Source organism: Homo sapiens, chromosome 2 (assembly GCF_000001405.40).
Source record: "Homo sapiens chromosome 2, GRCh38.p14 Primary Assembly".
In the NCBI taxonomy this organism is placed as follows: Eukaryota; Metazoa; Chordata; class Mammalia; order Primates; family Hominidae; genus Homo; species Homo sapiens.
In genome coordinates, this window is record NC_000002.12 from 215,795,717 (window position 1) to 215,815,402 (window position 19,686).

Below are 19,686 nucleotides of genomic sequence, written 5' to 3' on the forward strand. Positions count from 1 at the left end.
AGGCAGATTCCCTCTATTCATCGTATAACTTAAAGAGAAAGCTTCTTCCCTACCAGTTTCCTAGAGCACTATCAACCTTGCTAACATCTTTGCATCCACTTCCTTGGCTTAAAACAGCATTGAAAGTTGCTTTTGAGTTTCTTAATGCACTGAAGATGCGATTCCTAAAGAACCTGAGAACTATGGACTCTGATGAAGATGCATGTTGGGAGATGTGAGACAATAAGCAGATCAATGCCATTCCATCAGTCTCTTCTTCCCACTGTTCTCTGCAAGTATCTATTGAGCAGAGCATTGAAGTTTATAGCGCTGTCAATGCCATGCAGGGAAGCCCATTGGGCTGGGTGTTTTGTATTTGTACTGTAGATCTACTCTCCACTTTGCCCCTTTCTGTTCCCTGGGAGGCTGCGCTCTGTGGACCATATCACTCCAGCTCACTTGTCCTCTGGCTTTTATTAAGTTTAGCCAATGAGAGTCATTGGCAGGAGATCACAGAGTGAGAGGAGTGAACACCTCTGAAAGCAAATTTCTTCCCACTCTAGCCTCCTCCCACTCCCTCTCCCTCTCTCCCAGGCTCTATTATACAGTGACTGTAATCCTGGCACTAGGCCACTTCTCCTATCGGGTGGAATCTCTCTTGCCAGAGAACTACAGGTTGTACTAATTTCTGGTAACCACTCTCTGCCTTCCTTCAGACCATGCAGGGAGTGATGCCAGTTCCTGCTGTGCTGTTCCCTGTCACCATCCTTTGGTGGTTTGCTTTAACGTTACTCACACATTTTTTAAACTATCCTCTATAGTTGACCTTTTGAGTGGGCCATGTCTTCCCTACTGGGACCTTAACCACAACCTCTTCATTCATTGTCAGGATTTTATATCTACGTCAACTTTCCAAAACACAGCTAAAATCTAAAATGTTGTTTTTCACATTTAAGAGCATTTTTAGATTGCAAAGAAGTAGCTATAGATTCCATTCCCAGCAACATGAGGACCCCTGAGGACTCATTTTCCAGTGAAATGATCGTAACTGATAAAAATCATTTTTAAAAAATTAAAGTTCCCAGAAATTGTTCTAAGGGTATACAGAAAATAAATCTATTCAAGAAAATCTACTAAATCTTGGTAAGAATAGTGAGGTTGTGGCACTTGAGCCATGACACACTAGCTTCCTCCCCACTCCAGCTCAATTTGAGGAAGGTTTCACTCTGAGTGGGACTGGTCAAAAGGTGAGGCTCCCTTTCCCTCTACTCGCTTGTTAAGGGATATGCAATCTCGCAGGAAAGGGCAGGACACCAGTGTTTCTCATCCTCTCCAATTCCAGGTTGGAAAGGCTAAATTCCTGGTAAGTATGGCCCAGCTGTTGGGAGCTCCTTTCTACCACCCACAACCCCACACATAGAGCGGTGGCTCTACAGCAGATGTGGCAGGCCAGGAACACTAGGGCCCCAATTATCACCCTCCAGCTCACTCACAGGACTGAGGCTCCACACAGAAGAAGCAAAATAAGAAGACCAGAGGCTACTACCCCATGCCAAGCACCCAAAGCTTGGTTTTTATTCAGAGGAAGAAGCAAATCATAAAAAAGAGGGCTCTGAAGCTCTCCCAAAAAGAAATTACTTTAGGGTAGGTACAGTGGCTCATACCTGCAATCCCAGCACTTTGGGAGGCCGAGGCAGGTGGATCACGAGGTCAGGAGATTGAGACCATCCTGGCTAACATGGTGAAACCCCGTCTCTACCAAAAATACAAAAATTTAGCTGGGCGTGGTAGCACACACCTGTAGTCCCAGCTACTCAGGAGGCTGAGGCAGGAGAATCGCTTGAACCCGGGAGGCGGAGCTTGCGGTGAGCGGAGATCGCGCCACTGCCCTCCAGCCTGGGTGACAGAGTGAAAAAAAAAATACTTTATTATAAATAGAGTGTGGGGAAGTTCAAGCCTAAGGACACTCTCAAAAACAATGGACATTTTGATGGTAAATAATTAAAAGGAGGCTGGTAGCTCTGTAAGAGTAACAAGCTAAATCATAGGCTAGCTAATTTAAGAGAGAAAATCAGGGAAAGAAACAGCTAAGAAGAGTACTCTTGGCAACAGAACAAACCTCAAAGACTGGCCTCAAAAATTATTCCTGCTTGAATTTAATCGGGTCAGGCTGTGGAACGAATTATGCCCCAGGAACTGTCAAAACAATAGAGCAATCTGCTAGAAATTGGTGAAGTCTAACAGCTTAGTGTGATACCAAATAAGGCAGACAGCTTAATGGAGAGCTTAGGGAAAGAGAAAGTCAAAAGTAAAATGGCAGACATAAATCCAATTACAGCCATAATAACATTAGATTCAATATGAACTGATTAAATGATCAAATCAAATAGGCAGAGATTGTCAAACTGGATTTTTAAAAAAGATCCAACTATATGTTGTCTACAGGAGACATACTTTAGATTAAAATTTTCAAATATGTTAAAAGTAAAAAGATATAAATATATATATGTCATGCAAACAGCAACCATAAGAAAGCTGGAATGTCCATACTAATACAGACAAAAAAGACTTTAAACCAAAAAAGTTATGATACATAATGAAGAACATCTTATGATGATTAAAATATCAATTCATCTGGAAGATATTACAATTATAGACATATATATCTCTAAAAAAAAGAACCGCAAAATACAAAAAGCAATTGACAGAATTGAAAGGAAAAATAGACAGGTCTACAATGAGAGTTGAAGACTTCGATATACTAGTCTCCCCTTAGCCATGGGGGATACGTTCTAAGACCCCCAGTAGATGACTGAAACCATGAATACAATATTAAACGCTAAATACACTATGTTTTTTTCCTATATACATAACTATGATGAAGTTTAATTTATAAATTAGGCCTGGTAAGAGATTAACAATGATTAATAATAAAATAGAACAATTATAGCAATCAGAACACGTTTTCTTGTCATGTCTTCTACCCACAATTTAATGCCTTTCCCATCTTAACTGAGCACATATTATGCAGTTTTGCAGTTTGAGGAGCAGCAGCAAAACTAGCACATATTTCTTTTTCCTTCTTCACAATTTTGTGGATAGAAGATGCATGCTTAACACAGATGTTAGCAAACTCAGTATATTATTATCATTATTATTATTATTTTTGAGACGGAGTCTCGCACTGTCGCCCAGGCTGGAGTGCAGTGGCGTGATCTCGGCTCACTGCAACCTCTGCCTCCTGGGTTCAAGTGATTCTCCTGCCTCAGTCTCCTGAGTAGCTGGGATTACAGGTGCCCACCACCATGTCTGGCTAATTTTTTGTATTTTTAGTAGAGACGGGGTTTCACTATTTTGGCCAGGCTGGTCTCAAACTCCTGAATTTGTGATCCACCTGCTTCGGCCTCCCAAAGTGCTAGGATTACAGGCTTGAGTCACTGTGCCTGGCCAATGTATGATTTATTTTTCTTTATTAAGTTGGGAACTTTCACCTTTTCACTTAAATAAAAGCACTTTATGGCTTCTCTTTGGCATATCCAAACTGCCAGCATCACTACTCTTGCACTGTGAAACTATCATTAAGTGAAATAAAATAAGGGTCACTTGAACACAGGCACCGCAGCACAAAAACAGTTGATCTGATGGCCAAGACAGCTGCTAAGTGACTAACAGTCAGGTAGCATATAGGCAAGGGAATGATTCACATCCCAGGCAGGACATAGTGAGCACAAGGTTTCACCATCTACTCAGAACAGTACACAATTTAAAACTTATGAATTGTTTATTTCTGGAATTTTCCATGTGATATTTTCAGACCATGTTTGACCTCATGTATTAAGATCCTGGAAAGGAAAACCATGGATAGGAGGACTACTGTACTAGATAGATAATAAATAAGAAAATAGAGGACCTGAATGCACTCTAAACCAACTAGATCTGACAGACACTTATAAAAAAGTTCATCCCAAAACCACAAAATACACTTATTGTCAAGTGCACAGGGGACATTCTCTAGGATAGACTTGTAAACTAAAAATAAAATTCTAATTCCTCTACCAACTGAACAGACTCCCTCTTGGCCAAGGGGACCACAGAGAAACCTTAAACACTGAGTTCCCAGACATGACAAGAAGGGAGGGCAGACACATCTCATAGTACCCCCTCCCTTTTGGAGTTTAGGCACAACAACTGACCAGCATTAGTGTTAAAAGAAAGATCATAAGATTGACAAAACAGACTCTCTGTGGCAATAAAATACCAAATTATAAAGAAGACCGAAGGCTATGAAAGACAAGGGTTAAGTCACACCAAGTTAGAGACAGAGCCTTACTCTTTAACCCACTGGAAATTAAAGAATCTCTGAATCCACCTATAACTTGTAATAAGTCCCCTGCTTTCAGATATCCCACCTTTTTAGCCTGACTCTATATATACCTTTCATGTATTGATTTATGTCTTTACTTATAACTCCTATGACATGGTTTGACTTTGTGTCCCACCCAAATCTCATCTCAAATTGTAATCCCCATAAACCCCATGTGTTGAGGGAGAGACCTGGTGGGAGGTGATTGGATCATGGGGGTGGTTTCCTCCATCCTGTTCATGATAGTGAGTTCTCATGAGATCTCATGGTTTTATAAGGGGCTCTTCCCCCTTTGCTCACTCTTGCTCTCTCGCACCTGCAGCCATGTAAGGTGTGCCTGCTTCCTTTTTGCCATGATTGTAAGTTTCCTGAGGCCTCCTCGGCCATGTGGAACTGAGTCAATTAAACTTCTTTTCTTTATAAATTACCCAGTCTCAGGTATTTCTTTATAGCAGTGTGAAAACAGACTAACACATCCTACCTCCCTGAAATGTATGAAACCAACTGTAATCTGACTACCTTGGGTGCGTTTTCTCAGGACTTTTTAAGACTGTGTTTCCCCAGGCTGCAGTCATTCATATTAGCTCAGAATAAATTTCTTTAAAATATTTACAGAGTTTGGTATTTTCATTAACAGACTGTATGCTAAGTCATAAAACAGCCTGAATAAATTTAAAAGAATTGAAATCATGCAAAGTATGTTTGCCAACCAAAATGTAGTAAAATTAGAAATTGATAACAAAAAAATTTGAAAAATTTACAAATACGTGAAAATTAAACAACACAATACTAAATAACCAATGAGTCAAAGAAGAAATCAGAAGTGAAATTAGAAAATATTCTCAGATAAGTAAAAATAAAGACACAACATCCCAAAGCTTATGGGATGTAGCTAAAGCAGTGCTTAGAGGAAATTTGAGAACTGAAAACGCTTATGTTAAAAAATAAGAAATATCTCAAGTCATTAACATGACTCCTTAAGGCACTAGAAAAAGAAGAGCAACTAAACAAAAAGCAAGCAAAGGAAGAAAACAATAAGGATTAGGGAATAAACTACTGAATAGAGGCTAGGAAAAATAATGAATAAAATCAACAGAATCAAAAACTGGATCTTTGAAAAGAATAAGAAAACTGGCAAATATTTAGTTAGACTGACCAAGCAAAAAAGAGAAAACTCAAATTACTAAAATTAAAAATGAAGCAGGGACAGTTCTACTGAAATAAATAAAATTATAGGGGAATATTATGAACAACTGCCTGTCAACAAATTGAATACTTTAGATGAAATATAAGAATTTCCACAAAGACACAAACTACCAAAACTGACCCAAGAAGAAATATAAATTTGAATAGACCTATAACAAGTAAAGAAATTGAATTACTAGGCCCAGATGGCTTTACTCGTGAACTCTACCAAGGATTTAAGTTAGAATTAGGCCAGGTGTGGTGGCTCATGCCTGTAATCCCAGCATTTTGGGAGGCCAAGGTGGGCAGATCACTTGAGGTCAGGAGTTCAAGACCAGCCTGGGATTCAATGCTGTAATCCCAGCAGCTCAGGAAGCTGAGACAGGAGAATCACTTGAACCCAGGAGGCAGAGGTTGCAATGAGCCAGGATCGCACCACCACACTCCACCCTGGGTGACAGAGCAAAACTCTGTCTCAAAAAAATAAGTAAAAAAAAAAGTGATAATTAATAGTATTCCTTATAAACTCTTCCAAAACAAAGAAGCAAGGGGAAACCTTCCCAACTGATTCAATGAGGCCAGTATTATTCTGATAACAAAACCAAACGAAGACATCACAGAAAAGAAAACTAGCACTAGCAGCTCTAGTCAGAGCAGTTATGCAATATAATAAAATAAAAGGCACCATATTGGAAAGGAAAAAGTATAGCTATCTCTATTTGCAGATGACAAGATCACATATATTGAAAATCCTAAGGAATCCATTAAAAACAGTATTAGAACATATGAATGAGTTTGGCAAGTTGCAAAATACAAGATCATTATACAAAAGTCAATTGAATTTCTATATGCTTATAATAAACATTCCAAAAATAAAATTAGGAAAACAATTCCATTTGTAATAGCATTGAAAAATACTTACGAGTACAATTAAGAAAAGAAATGCAAACCTTATACTCTGAAAGCTAAAAAACATTATTTAAATAAATTAAAGAATATCCAAGTAAACAGAAAGATATCCCATGTTCATGGACTGGAAGATACAATATTGTTAAGATGACAATACTTCTCAAATTGATGTATAGATTTATCACAATCCCTATCAATGTCACAGCTAGCTTCTTCACAGAAATTGACAAGCTGATCCCAAAATTCCAATGAAAATTTAATTAATCCAGAATATCTAAAACAATGTTGAAAAAGACAAAGTAGGAGGGCTCACACTTCCTGATTTCAAAATTTACTACAAAGCTACAGTAATCAAGAAAATACGGTACTGGCATAGGAAAGATATGTAGATTAATAAAACAGAATTGAAAGTCCAAAAATAAACCATTGGGTATTAGATCAACTGATTTTCAGCAAGAGTGCCAAGATATTTCAATGGAGAAAGAGTAATTTTTTTAATAAATGGTGTTGGGACAACTGGATATCCATGTGCAAAAGGAAGTTGGACCACTAACTCACACCATATACAAAAATTAGCTTAAAATGAATCTAAAAGCTAAACGTAAGAGCTAACTGTAAAACTTTTGAAGGAAACATAACTACAAATCTTTGTGACTTTGAATTTAGCAATGATTGCTTAGATATGAAACCAAAAGCACAATTAAAAAAAGAAAAAAAAATGAAAAATTGAAAATTGTCAAAATTAAAAACTTTTGTACTGAAAAGGATATCATGTAGAAAGTTTAAAAACAGCCCACAGAATGGGAGAAAATATTTGCAAATTGCATATCTGATGAGGCATGTATATCTAGAATAGTTAGAGAACTATTTCAACTCAGTAATGAAAAGACAACCCAATTAAAAATGAGCAAAATATCGGAACAGACAGTTCTCCAAACTAGATACACAAATGAACAATAAGCACATTAAATTATGCTCAACATCATTAGTCATCAGGAAAATGCAAATCAAAACCATGATAAAATACAATACCACACCTACTAGGTTGCTAATAATATACATTTTTTTTAAAAAAACAGATAACAAGTATTCAAAAAGGATGTGGAGAAATTGGGACTCTCATACATAGCTGGTGGCAATTTAAAATGATGCAGCCACTATGGAAAATGATTTGATAGTTCCTCTGAGTTACCATATGACTCAGCAATTCTATTCCTAGGTATATCCTAAGATAAATGAAAATATAAGCAATTTATAAATGAATGTTTATAGTAGTAGTATTCATAATAGCCACACACTAGAAACAACCTAAATATCCAACAATTGATGAGTGGATAAATAAAATGTGATATATCCATACAATGCCATATTATTAGGCCATAAAAAGGAATGAAATACCGATACATGCTACAACATGAGTAAGACTTGAAAAAGAAGCCAATCACAAAAGACCATATATTGTATGACTTCACTTATATGAAATATTTAGAATAGGCAAATCTTCAGAGAAAGAAATTAGATTCATGGTTGCCTAGGGCTGGAAGGGGTGGGGAAAATGAGAGTGACTGTTAATGGTTTCTTTTAAGGAGGATGAAAATGTCCTAAAATTGATTGGGGTGATGATTTCCCAACTCTGTAACAACAACAACAAAAAAGATTAGTCATGGGTTCTGTAATTAAAAACCACTAAATCGTAAACTTTAAACAGGTGGATTGTATGGTATGTAAATTATTTATCAACAAAGCAGCTATTAGTGTTTTTAAACATGATATAATTTTTTTTTCTGATGTAGGAAGGAAAACCAACCATTACTGGAGAGCAGTGTTTCTCACCATTCGCCTTCACACTCTTCAATTCAGTCAGACCGAGTTCCTGCTGTACAGGATGTCCGGGTGGTAGAGTGTAATGGCTAAGAGCTAGTTGCCTGTGTTGGAATTCTGGCTTAATCACTTACTAGATGTGGGACATCAGGAAAGTTCCTTAACCTCCCTGTGCCTCAGTCCCGTTAGCTGTAAAATGAGGACATTAATAATTTCTAGCTCAAAGCGTTTTTAGGGGAATTAAAAATGCAACACATTAAACTCGTAGAACAATGCCCAGCACATAAGTGCTATATAAGAACTGCTTTATCCCAGCACTTCGGGAGGCCAAGGCGGGCGGATCACAAGGTCAGGAGATCGAGACTATACTGGCTAACACGGTGAAACCCCGTCTCTACTAAAAATACAAAAAAATCAGCCAGGCATGGTGGCATGTCCCTGTAGTCCCAGCTAGTTATGAGGTTGAGGCAGGAGAATCGCTTGAACCCGGGAGGTGGAGGTTGCAGTGAGCCAAGATGGCACTACTGCACTCCAGCCTGGGCGACAGAGCAAGATTCCGTTTCAAAAAAGTAAAAAAGAAAAAAAAGAACTGCGTTATTATTTTTTTCAAGTTTCAGTTATTTATTAATCAGTATAATCTACAGTAGATTGCATCAACATTATTTCATGCATTTAGAGGACAAATATATTAAGTGGAAAATTGTGCGGATGGCTGCTGGAAAACCTTCATTCTAAAGCAGCTTTATAGCGAAACATTTCATTTGGAAATCTGGACCTTCTTTCTTCAGTTCGCTGTAATCCATTCACTGAGTAGAACTTGTATTGATCATTGGGACCCAGTTTGTTCCAGGGTTCTGGGTTATTCTTTCTGTCCCAACTAACAACTGGATTGATCAATGCCAGGTGCAAAAGATACAGTGCCACTCCAGTATCTCCAGTTCCAATAAATACGAAGAGGGGGATCAAGCTTGGATGCGTAGTGGCCTGACTGATGATCCGGCAGAGCATGTTTGCGGTAGAGGCCTCCGATTAGAAAGGAGAGAACCAGACTAGCCACCAGGTCCTGGGCTAAGTAGTATCTGCCAACTGCTTTATTATTAACCCATTCCCCTCCCTAACACTACCCTGAATTCACCTGTCACAGGGATAGGCCAGTCTCCAGATTCCATTCCCCAGTCCACAGTGATTGGTTCAGAGATGGGCACATGAGTCCATCAGGCCAATGAGACTCAAATCTAAGACTCGGGTTGAGCTGTTGGGGTAGCAGACTCCTTTCTCCCAGCTGGTCTTACAAATATGAAGCATTTGGCTTCCAGACGTACAGGCAGTCATTAGAGAGCCGCAGGAGAGAACCCACCTGAAGAGGCAGTCCTATGAGTAACAACGTAATTTCCTCCTAAAAATCTTTCTCCCACCATCATCACATACAGACTGGATTAAGCGATCCTTATACACAGTCCTGTAACCATCTCTGGATCTCTTAACCCTAAGGTCAGAAACATCTCCTTTTGCCCAGGGTGATCTCGGTGTAAACCTCTTGGCCCAGCATAATTATTGAGAGTTCCCCCTTCATCTTCAGGTCCCAGTTTGAATGATAAACTACATAATTATCTATCACAAAATGTATGTACGCTTACGTTGTTATTTGTTTAATTATCTGACTTCCTTGTTAGATACTAAGCCTTGTAAAAGGCAGGAACTATAACTATATTGGCCATTGTTTTATTCCCAATAGCTAACACAGTGCCTGGCATAGAACAGGTGTTGAATAGTTGTCTGCATAATAAATGAATAAAAGAATTTTTAAAAATCATCACCACACCTAGTCCTAGCCCCAGGGTTTTTCACTTTCAAAATCATCACCCCTTAAAACTGTCCCTAATATTTGTTTTCTAAGCTTACCTTTAAATGAATTAAAATATATCAGAAGGGGCTGGGCGCGGTGGCTCACGCCTGTAATCCTAGCACTTTGGGAGGCTGAGGTGGGCGGATCACGAGGTCAGGAGATCGAGACTATCCTGGCTAACACGGTGAAACCCCGTCTCTACTAAAAATTCAAAAAATTAGCCGGGCGTGGTGGCAGACGCCTGTAGTCCCAGCTACTCGGGAGGCTGAGGTGGGAGAATGGCATGAACCCAGGAGGCGGAGCTTGCAGTGAGCCTAGATCGCGCCACTGCACTCCAGTCTGGGCAACTCTGTCTCAGGTAAAAAAAAAAAAAAAAAATATGTATATATATATATCAGAAGGGGAAACACATGGTGAGATGCTCCTGTAACACGTACCCCTTCAAATAATAATGTTTGCTTTTCTGGGAGCTGGTAAATGAAAATATCCTATTCTCTTGCCCTCAAAAAGACACAACACCTGAAAAGTCCAGAGTACCAAGTTGAGTGAAGATTTTTTCTTAGTTGAGACCTGAAATTCATGGTAGAATTCCCAGATGCAGAAAAAGTCCCACCAGAGAATCTTCCCGCAATGGGGTCTTACAAAGCTATTGTAGCAAATTTAAGTTGTACAAGAGTACCAAAAATATTTTCTATTTCCCTACCTGCTTTCTTGGCCTTCACTTGGCCCCTCTGCCACGCATCTCAGCTGACATTCAGCACAAAACTTTACTGGGTCCATAAGCCATATAATTCCCTCATTATTGCCAAAAAATTTTTCATAGACAAGAGAAATTATTTGCAAACATGTTGGAAGAAGTTTTTCCTTTTCTGGGGTTGAGATTATAGTTCAAACTGCAGGAAGAACAAGGACAAATCTGAATGATGATACTCTACAAATTCACTTATCCATTTGACATAAGAGGATTAAAAGAATAGGGAAAAAAATGCTTTTCAGAATAACTTTGGCATACATTTAGTTATATTAACAGTGGTTCAGAGGCAAGTGTGACCAAATTTAAAAGGTTTACTGTATGTTTTAGAGTTAAACTTAATTCAGGTAACTTTCATGCCCCTAGGGTGGGCAGCCAATGTTGTGAAACTAAGGGCTAGTTCAAGTTAAAAAAAATAATAATAATAAAAAATAAAGAGACGGAAAATGTCCAAAGGAGAGGTTAAGTATACTTAGTAAGGGTGGTAAAACCACATGAATATTAATTGGGCCAATCCAAACTTTAGCCCCTCAATAAAACAAAAATATTTTCAAGCTTTAAGAGAAAATAAAGTAGGCTGCTCTTCCCAAGCTATTTTTCATCTCACTGCTTTCTACATTTCTTACTGCTGGTTCTGAGAATCACAAGATTATAAAAAAAGAGAGGCTACACTTTCAATATGTCTTGATTATAACATCCTAGAGCAAGAAAATCCAGAGAACTACTGCAAAGCTAACAACATAGAAAGAGCCCTTCTGTTCCCCAGGTGCTTAGTGAGGACTAGCTTTGTCATTTCTTCCACACACTCCAGCCATGGCTGAAAAGGGAATTTTGAGCCCTGAATCTTTCGCCAGATGGAGAAGTTCCTTTCTCAATCTTGTCAATTTTCCTTCTCGCTTAATGTTTTTCCTTCCTTTCCTGCCTGTTCTTTAATTTCCCTGTGTACCTCCTAAAGTAATTTATTTACAGAACTATTTATTAACTTCTTTTGTAGTATTGTATGTTGAACTACAAAAGAAAGGCGGAGATGTGTGAAGAGCTCTTCACACATAGCTATGTTGAATTATGTGTAAAATCCTTCAAAAGTCAGGATGACACCTTCAGAGTTCTGGCTGTTACTTCCAAGCTAGATAAGAAACACTAATTAGGCGTTTTGTCACAGATTTCTGGACAATGGTGTCTATGAGTTGTCTTCCCAGTGTAATGAAAACCTAGATTAATTATTTTTTATGTCATTATTTTCATTCTCAAAGGAGAAATGGTCACTGTTTTTGTTACACTCTGTTTTCAAAACATGTCAATGTGCCTCACTATTAAAAAATCTTACACACAAAATTTGAACCAAGAAAACATCTCATTTAAATTACAATTATTCACAATTGAAAAAAAAAGATTCTCTCCACTAAAGGATTCATCATTGGTTTATTTTCAATACAGTAATAAGAATTTTCAATATAATGAAATTATCTGAGTATATTTTAATATTTACACACAAGTTCTCAGAGTTTCACATTTTAAAATATGCAACAAAGTTATTCTTTTTCTAAGCAGATAGATTATAAATACTACTATTTTCTCCCTGTTATACTGTCCACCACTGCATTGTCACTAATTGCTATTTCATAGAAACTTTGTCCTGTTCCAAATATATATCTCAAGTGTATTTCTTTGATCATTTACTAATTTACTTTTTTAATTGAGTCACTCATGTAACTATTCATTAAACATCCAAAATGTTTCACGTCTTTTACCTTGCAGAGAAAATGGCTAATACCACTTTATACCTCTTCTCCTGTGCTCTGGGCAACACAGGACCTGCTTATTCATTTAACTAGAATTCAAACTTCCGTCATAACCCTTAGTGATACTTTCAGTAGAACAGAAAGCCCTGCATGAATACAACTGCATAGGAAAATTTAACATATAATAAAGTCAGCACCTCAAATTAGTGGGAAAAAGATGAACATTTAAGTGAGTAGTATTAGGACAACTATTAACAGATAGATAGCTATACTTTAAAAGGAGGAAATGGATCCATTTCTCACACCATAAAACAAGATAAATTCCAAGTGTATCAGGAATGTAATAAAATGAAACCATACAAATACTACATGAAACATGAGTGAATTGCTTTATTACATGACACTTGGAAAAATGTTCCTAATCATGACTCAAAATCCAGAAGTAAAAAGAGAAAGGACTGATACAATTGACGATGTAAAAAATAAAATAAAGTTAGAAACCTTTATATGTGAAAAGTGTCATAAGTAATGTAAAAAGGGGACAAATGACAAACTGGGGAAAATATGTGCCACTTACGTCACCCAAAGCGATTATTCTTCACATAAACAGAGCTTTTAGAATTTGAGAAGAAAAGACCGATAACACTCTATTGTAAAACGAAACTAAGAAACAATTGATAAGCAAATTCAAGTGACCTACAAAAAGCTCAACAGTGCTAATAGTAAGAGAAGTATAATTTTACACTTCTCTGAGATTCTAGTTCTCAATTATCACTGGATGGGAAAAATCCAAAAGTTTGATCACATAAACAGTTGACCAGACTGTGGGGAAGCAAGCACTTTTGCTCTGCTGGTGGGAATGCAAAATTTCACCTCTCTTCCAGAGGAAGATTTGCTGATACCTTGCTAGATATTTACTCAGCGACACCATGTTGAGTAATCTATTCAAAAGATACATTGGCAAAACTATAAGAAGATGCACAAGGCCATGCATTGCAACACCATTAATAATAATAAAGAACTTGGAAGCAATCCAAATATCCATAATGGAGAATGGATTCAATAAAGAATAAATCAGGATACAGCCATACAATGGAGTACAAGCCTGCTACAAAAAAGAAATGAGAATTATCTCTATATTACCATGGAGTCATCTTCAGACAAGTCCTTAAATTTTTTAAAGGCAGGGAAGGCTTAACATATACAGTTCTTTAAATGGTTATCTATGATGAAAGAAGGAATTATATAGAAGGAGCAGGGCCAGGCACAGTGGCTCATGCCTATAATCCCAGCACTTTGGGAGGCCGAAGTGGGTAAAACAAGTGAGGTCAGGAGTTCAAGACCAGCCTGGCCAACATGGGGAGACCCCTTTTTTTGTATTTTTTTAGTAGACAAGGAGTTTCCCATCTGGGCGTGCTGGTGCATGCCTGTAATCCCAGCTACTCGGGAGGCTGGGGCACAAGAATCGCTTGAACCCAGGAGAAGGAGGTTGCAGTGACCTGAGATCATGCCACTGTACTCCAGCCTGGGTGACAGAGTGAGGGAAAAAAAAAAAAAAGAAGGGACAGGGTCAAAGCAATACTTCTATGAATATACCTTGTTTTGTATATTTGAATTTGGTACAGTGTAAATACTTTGCATAATTATAAAACAAAATTAAACATAACAAAATCAGATACTTAACAATTGAGAGCAAAATTAGTCAAGTAAATACAACTGTGTATCAGATGGATGGCAAAACCACATAGAGGAACTATTCCAAATGACTTTGAAACATTGTAAACTGACTATAAATTTCTATTGAGATATACTCTGTGGACAAAAAGAACTGCAAATAAATCTTAAAATTATCAAATCACTGCAGCTAGTGGTAGGTATTGTTATTCTGAGACTGTCGTGTGCATTGTGAGATTAAGCAAATAAGTAATTGTCTTGGTGCCATCAGAAACCAGGATTTTTGTCATGAGAGAAAGGAAATACAAACGTAAGATGCAGAAGATTGAGTTAAAAGTCCTATTCTATATTTGAATATATATAAATTCATGATGTATTTTATTTAAAAATATATATATATTTCCTACCTCTATCCTCTGAAAAGATCAACCTAAGAGCAATGAGGAGTCTTAATTCTCATATTGCTGTTTCTAGTCATCATTTCCAAATCAAAGCAATCATGCACCTGTAATCCCAGCACTTTAGGAGGCCGAGGTGGGTGGATCACCCTCCTCGAGGTCAGGAGTTCAAGACCAGCCTGACCAACATGGTGAAACCCCCATCTCTACTAAAAATACAAAAATTAGCGGGCGTGGTGGTGCGCACCTGTAATCCCAGCTACTCAGGAGGCTGAGGCAGGAGAATCTCTTGAACCTGGGAGGTGGAGGTTGCAGTGAGCCAAGATCTTGCCACTGCACTCCAACCTGAGTGACAGAGCGAGACTCTGTCTCAAAAAAAAAAAAAAAAAAAAAAGGAAAAGAAAAAAAGAAAAAGAAAAAATGGCTGATTCCAAGTCTGAGAAAGGAAAAGTAGAGGATGAGCCTAGAACATTTTGTCATACTAGACAACGAGGAGGCTCTCAGAGATTACTGAGATTGCTCAAAAGATTCAAAAGACAACTTGAATAGGTTGCCACTGGCCAAAGATAAACTAATTCGACACTTCAGAACACTCACTTCCATTCTTTGAAATCTGTGCTTCCTAGGTGGCTATCTTCAGACTTTGCATTTGAACACTTTAAACTAGATTTTGACCCTTTTGATTATTTTAGGATGACATTTTGGTGACCCAGATGGGACCCAAAGCAAGCCGCCAGTGATCCCCACCATTTCACCAACAACAGTCAGGGCACTGGTATTAGCATGAATGACTTTTGTTCACTCGACCTCACTAGAGCCAGGAGGAGTCTCTGGTGAGGTTCCTCTTCAAGTTCAAATCTCCCTGATTTTTGTTGATATTCAGACCTTATTCAAGCCACCTAATTCCACGCTCAATAGAGCTGGAATTAAAGCTCTGCTTTTCAGGTAAGGTTTTGGGTTTTGTTCTCTAGAGATTCTGCTCTTTGCAGGTTTTGTTTTGTTTATTTTGTGTTTTGTTTTGTTTTTATAGACAGAGTCTTGCTTTTTTTTATAGACAGAGTCTTGCTCTGTTGCACAGGCTGGAGTGCAGTGGTGCACTCATGGCTCACCGCAGCCTCAAACTCCTAGGCTCAAAGAATCCTCCCACCTCATCCTCAGGAGAAGCTGGGACTGTAGGTGCAGGGCCACCATGCCTGGCTAACTTACTTTCTGTAGAGACAGGGTCTCATTATGTTGCCCAGGCTCATCTCCAATACTTAGCCTCAAGTGATCCTCTCAAAGTGCTGGGATTACAGGCATGAGCTACTGTGCCTGTCCTATAGATTTAGGTTAACAGTTGTTTGTTGAACTATGCATTAGAGTTTGTGCAGCCTTTGCTCTCATTCGCACTATGGTCAGGAAAGGAAACCATTTCTCTCTCTGAAAAGAGGAAGTGAATTTTTTTGTGGTTTAAGCAAAGTTTGTAATTAAAAAAAAAAAAAACTGGCTAAACTTGGAAGCTGGGTTCATTTGACATATCTAAAGTCCCTTCTGAGTGGCCAAAGCCAGGGAAAAGCTTTTAATCAGAATGAAGATAAATCCTGAAGATAAGGGACACTATTCTTCCTGGACAAAATGTACCTTAGGCAACTAGGTTCCTGTGGGAGTGTTTGAGCTCATTGCTTGTGATGTGCAATGGTCCCATAGGCAATCCTCAAAGAAGAACACAGGGGGAATCTTGCTTAACCCAGGGGGCCCCATGAAAGGCTGCTCTCCCTGTGCCTTAAGCACCCAGGACTCATGGGTTTTGCCAAGATGTGTAAGAGGGGAGAAGCAACTCGTAGGTGACACCTTGAGGAGTAATCCTCATTGGGCAGCACACCACATCCAAAACATCTTTCACTTTCAGCTTAAAAAGAACTTAATTTATGGGCAGTTATCTATGTAAAACCACATCTTCCTTCTGAAAGGAGAGATCAACCTATGGAAACTCCAGTTGGATTCCTAGGCAATACTTATGGGGCCACCTCCTGTCAATATCTAGAGAAATAGTCTTAACCCGTGAAGACACCAAACTACAATGGCCAAAATGAGATACTTTTGAAATACCTAAATTAGTTTATTTACACACACAACTAGAAAAACAGCTCTAAAATTAAACAATAATTGGGAGAGTTACTTCCAATGGTACTTAGACCTTTTCAAGAGAGGCTCTGACAAAGTTCTTTCCCTATAGGAAGAAGACATAAAGCTCTCCAAAACCACTTCTGAATTAAAGACAACTGCTTTAATATGCAACAAATGTTAGGCTGTGGTGAGCTCAGGTAATTGAGACTCCAGAAGCAAGTAGAACCGATGTATTGAACAGGCGAACTTCTAGGGGATTAAGGATATAGATGACTGTTAAAGGTCAGCATCCCCCTAATTCTGTCCTTCACATTACAATCTCTAGGTCCAATCATCTAAACCCTGTCACTCTTCTACCTCTGGCTTCAGATGAGAGGGCACAAGATTGCAAAATCTTAACCAACCGCTTCTCTCTCCCAGACAGACCTCCAGGAGACTCCCCTTCCTAGCACTGATGTTGTTTGGTTTACAGATGGATCTAACTTAAAGGATGAATCTGGGACTTATTGTGCAGGTTATGCTATAGTATCTTTAATGGGAGAAATAGAAAGTGATTGCCTTCCAGGAGCCACATTCACTCAACAAGCAGAACTGGTAGCATTAATCAGGGCCTGTCAACTGGCAAAAGGAATAACTGCTAATATTCATGCAAGCAGCAGATCTGCTTTTGGAGTTGCTCATGATTTTGGAATGCTATGGAAACAAAGAAGGTTTTTAACCACTTCTGACCAGTCTGTAAAAATTGGACACCTTATTTCACAATTGCTAGAAGGCTTATTATTATACCAAGATCACTGCCCATTATTAAAATCCCAGATCACCCCAAATCAGATACTCCAGAAAGCAAAGGAAATCAGCTAGCTGATAAGGCAGCAAAAAGAGCTGCACTAAATGCATCTAAACAAGAAAAGTAACCTATATTAACTTTTAAAGAAGCACCTGAATTTGACAAAAAATGAGCTAAGTACAGAGCTCCAGAAGCTGAACAGGAAAATTGGAAGACGAAAAGGAGAACATACTCTCCCAAAGATGAGGTGTGGTGTGGGCCAAATAATTTACCTATGCTTCCTGCTGAATTACAGTCGTCATTTTTAACCTATAGACGTGATTCAACTCATTGGAGCCTTGATGAAATGGTTGCTTGGGGAAAACAATACTTTCAAAAACCATCTCTGATTATAGCTCACAAGGTATACAATCACTGCCATGTATCTGCTCAAAATATAATCTAGGGAAACCTTTACACAGTTCCCGAGGACATTTGCCTTTAACTGAAGGCCCCTATGAAGTACGACAATTAGATTCTATTCAGCTGCCACCACTGCAAGGATACCATTATGTTCTAGTGATTATTTGCATGTTTTCTCATTGATTAGAAGTCTATCCATGTAGAAGAGTGACTGACTGACTGCCTTAGCAGTAAGTAAAATTCTTTCAGGAAAGATTATTCTGACTTGGGGAGCTCCCTTAAAACTCCACAGTGACAGAGGTACTCATTTTACCAGACAGAAAATTCAGTCAGTATGTAAAAGTTGGCCTCTCCTCCAACACTTTCATTGTGCGTGTCATCCCCAATCATTTAGATTGGTGGAGCATACAAATTGAATAATTAAGATTCAATTGGCAAAAATAACAGAAGTTTTAAAGATTCCATGGCCAAAGTCTCTTCCATTGGTTTTTCTTAACCTAAGATCAGTCTCATTTAGAAAATGTCAGTTGTTGCTATAACTGGCAAACCTATGAATCTGTCCCCATGGAATTGTAACTCCTTAATTGTAAAGGGAGACATGTTCCCTTATTGTTATTACCTTATGAAACAATTAACTAAAAATTATAATCTAGTAAAAGATTATTAGAGACCTCTCAGGAAATGAAGAATTAAAGACTCACAGTCTTTAACCAGGGAATTTTGTTTATTGGAAATGACATATTTTAAAAGACTGTTTCTGACCGAAGTAGAAGGGCCCTTCCAAAGTGTCCCTTACTAAACCTCGTGCTGTTAAATGAGAAAAAATAGACTCCTAGATCCATGTTTCTCATCAAAAAAGGCTGTATCTCCTGAGTGGAATGTTTCCCCGGAAGATGACTCTCAGCTCAAGTTAATGCCAGGTCGAAAAGAAGATGATATCTGATGTAGACAGCTAAAACCCAAGGCTTCAGACCAGGTCTATATCTGAACAAATGCTTAATATTAACATTCGTTAATAAATAGATGATGAAGATTTTCCTTTACAAGCTCCCACTAAACTTCTTTTTATTCTTAGTTCTCATGTCTTGGTTCTGCTATCACCAGCTGTTGCCCTTGAAGCAAACTTCTCTTTGCAAAGTGCCCAAGACTATGCTAAAAGCTTTCAAAAATATCCTTGTTGAGTATGTGGTCTCATGCCCTTTCTAGTAGTTTTGGCCAATTATGATGGGTATCTCCCAGGAAAAGATTGGATAGAATATCAGAAATATATCTGTGTTTCTCAAAAATAGTCATCGATGTTTGACACTAGTAGGACTAAGGATAATGTACATCACTGGCCTATTAATAATACTTTACGGAATAAAGATCATAGTAAGAGCTTCTCGGTAAAAGAAACTAGTCCATTAGCTTTCATGCTGGTACTGTCCCTCCTGAGAGATGAAACAACCAGACTGCCCCAATTGAGAGTTGAGACAAGTCAATTTTAGAATGATACAACACAAATTTGGGATGGTTTTATCTGGCTTGCCCCCTTCTTTGGCCAGCTCAGTCAGCTTGTCACCTTATTTTTGGAACAGAGAAATTATACCAAACATACCTGTCCCAATAGCACTAGAGACAGAGTACTGATTGGCATGCCACCTAATGGGCACAACCACCAGGTATTCATTGGTTAGTTCCAAATGGAACATCTGGGCTTTGTGGCACTAACTTATGGTCACAG

The 19,686-nt window shown here is 38.3% G+C and overlaps 1 long non-coding RNA gene and 1 pseudogene across 2 annotated transcripts in view; both read right to left on the bottom strand.

The window, feature by feature from the left end:
* Nucleotides 1–19,686, bottom strand: part of LINC00607 (long intergenic non-protein coding RNA 607) — a 231,974-nt gene that overhangs the window by 184,154 nt on the left and 28,134 nt on the right. The gene's annotated exons all lie outside the window — the stretch shown is intronic.
* Nucleotides 8,855–10,143, bottom strand: COXFA4P5 (COXFA4 pseudogene 5; annotated as a pseudogene). The gene has a single exon (XR_007088076.1). The product of XR_007088076.1 is annotated as a COXFA4 pseudogene 5 (transcript).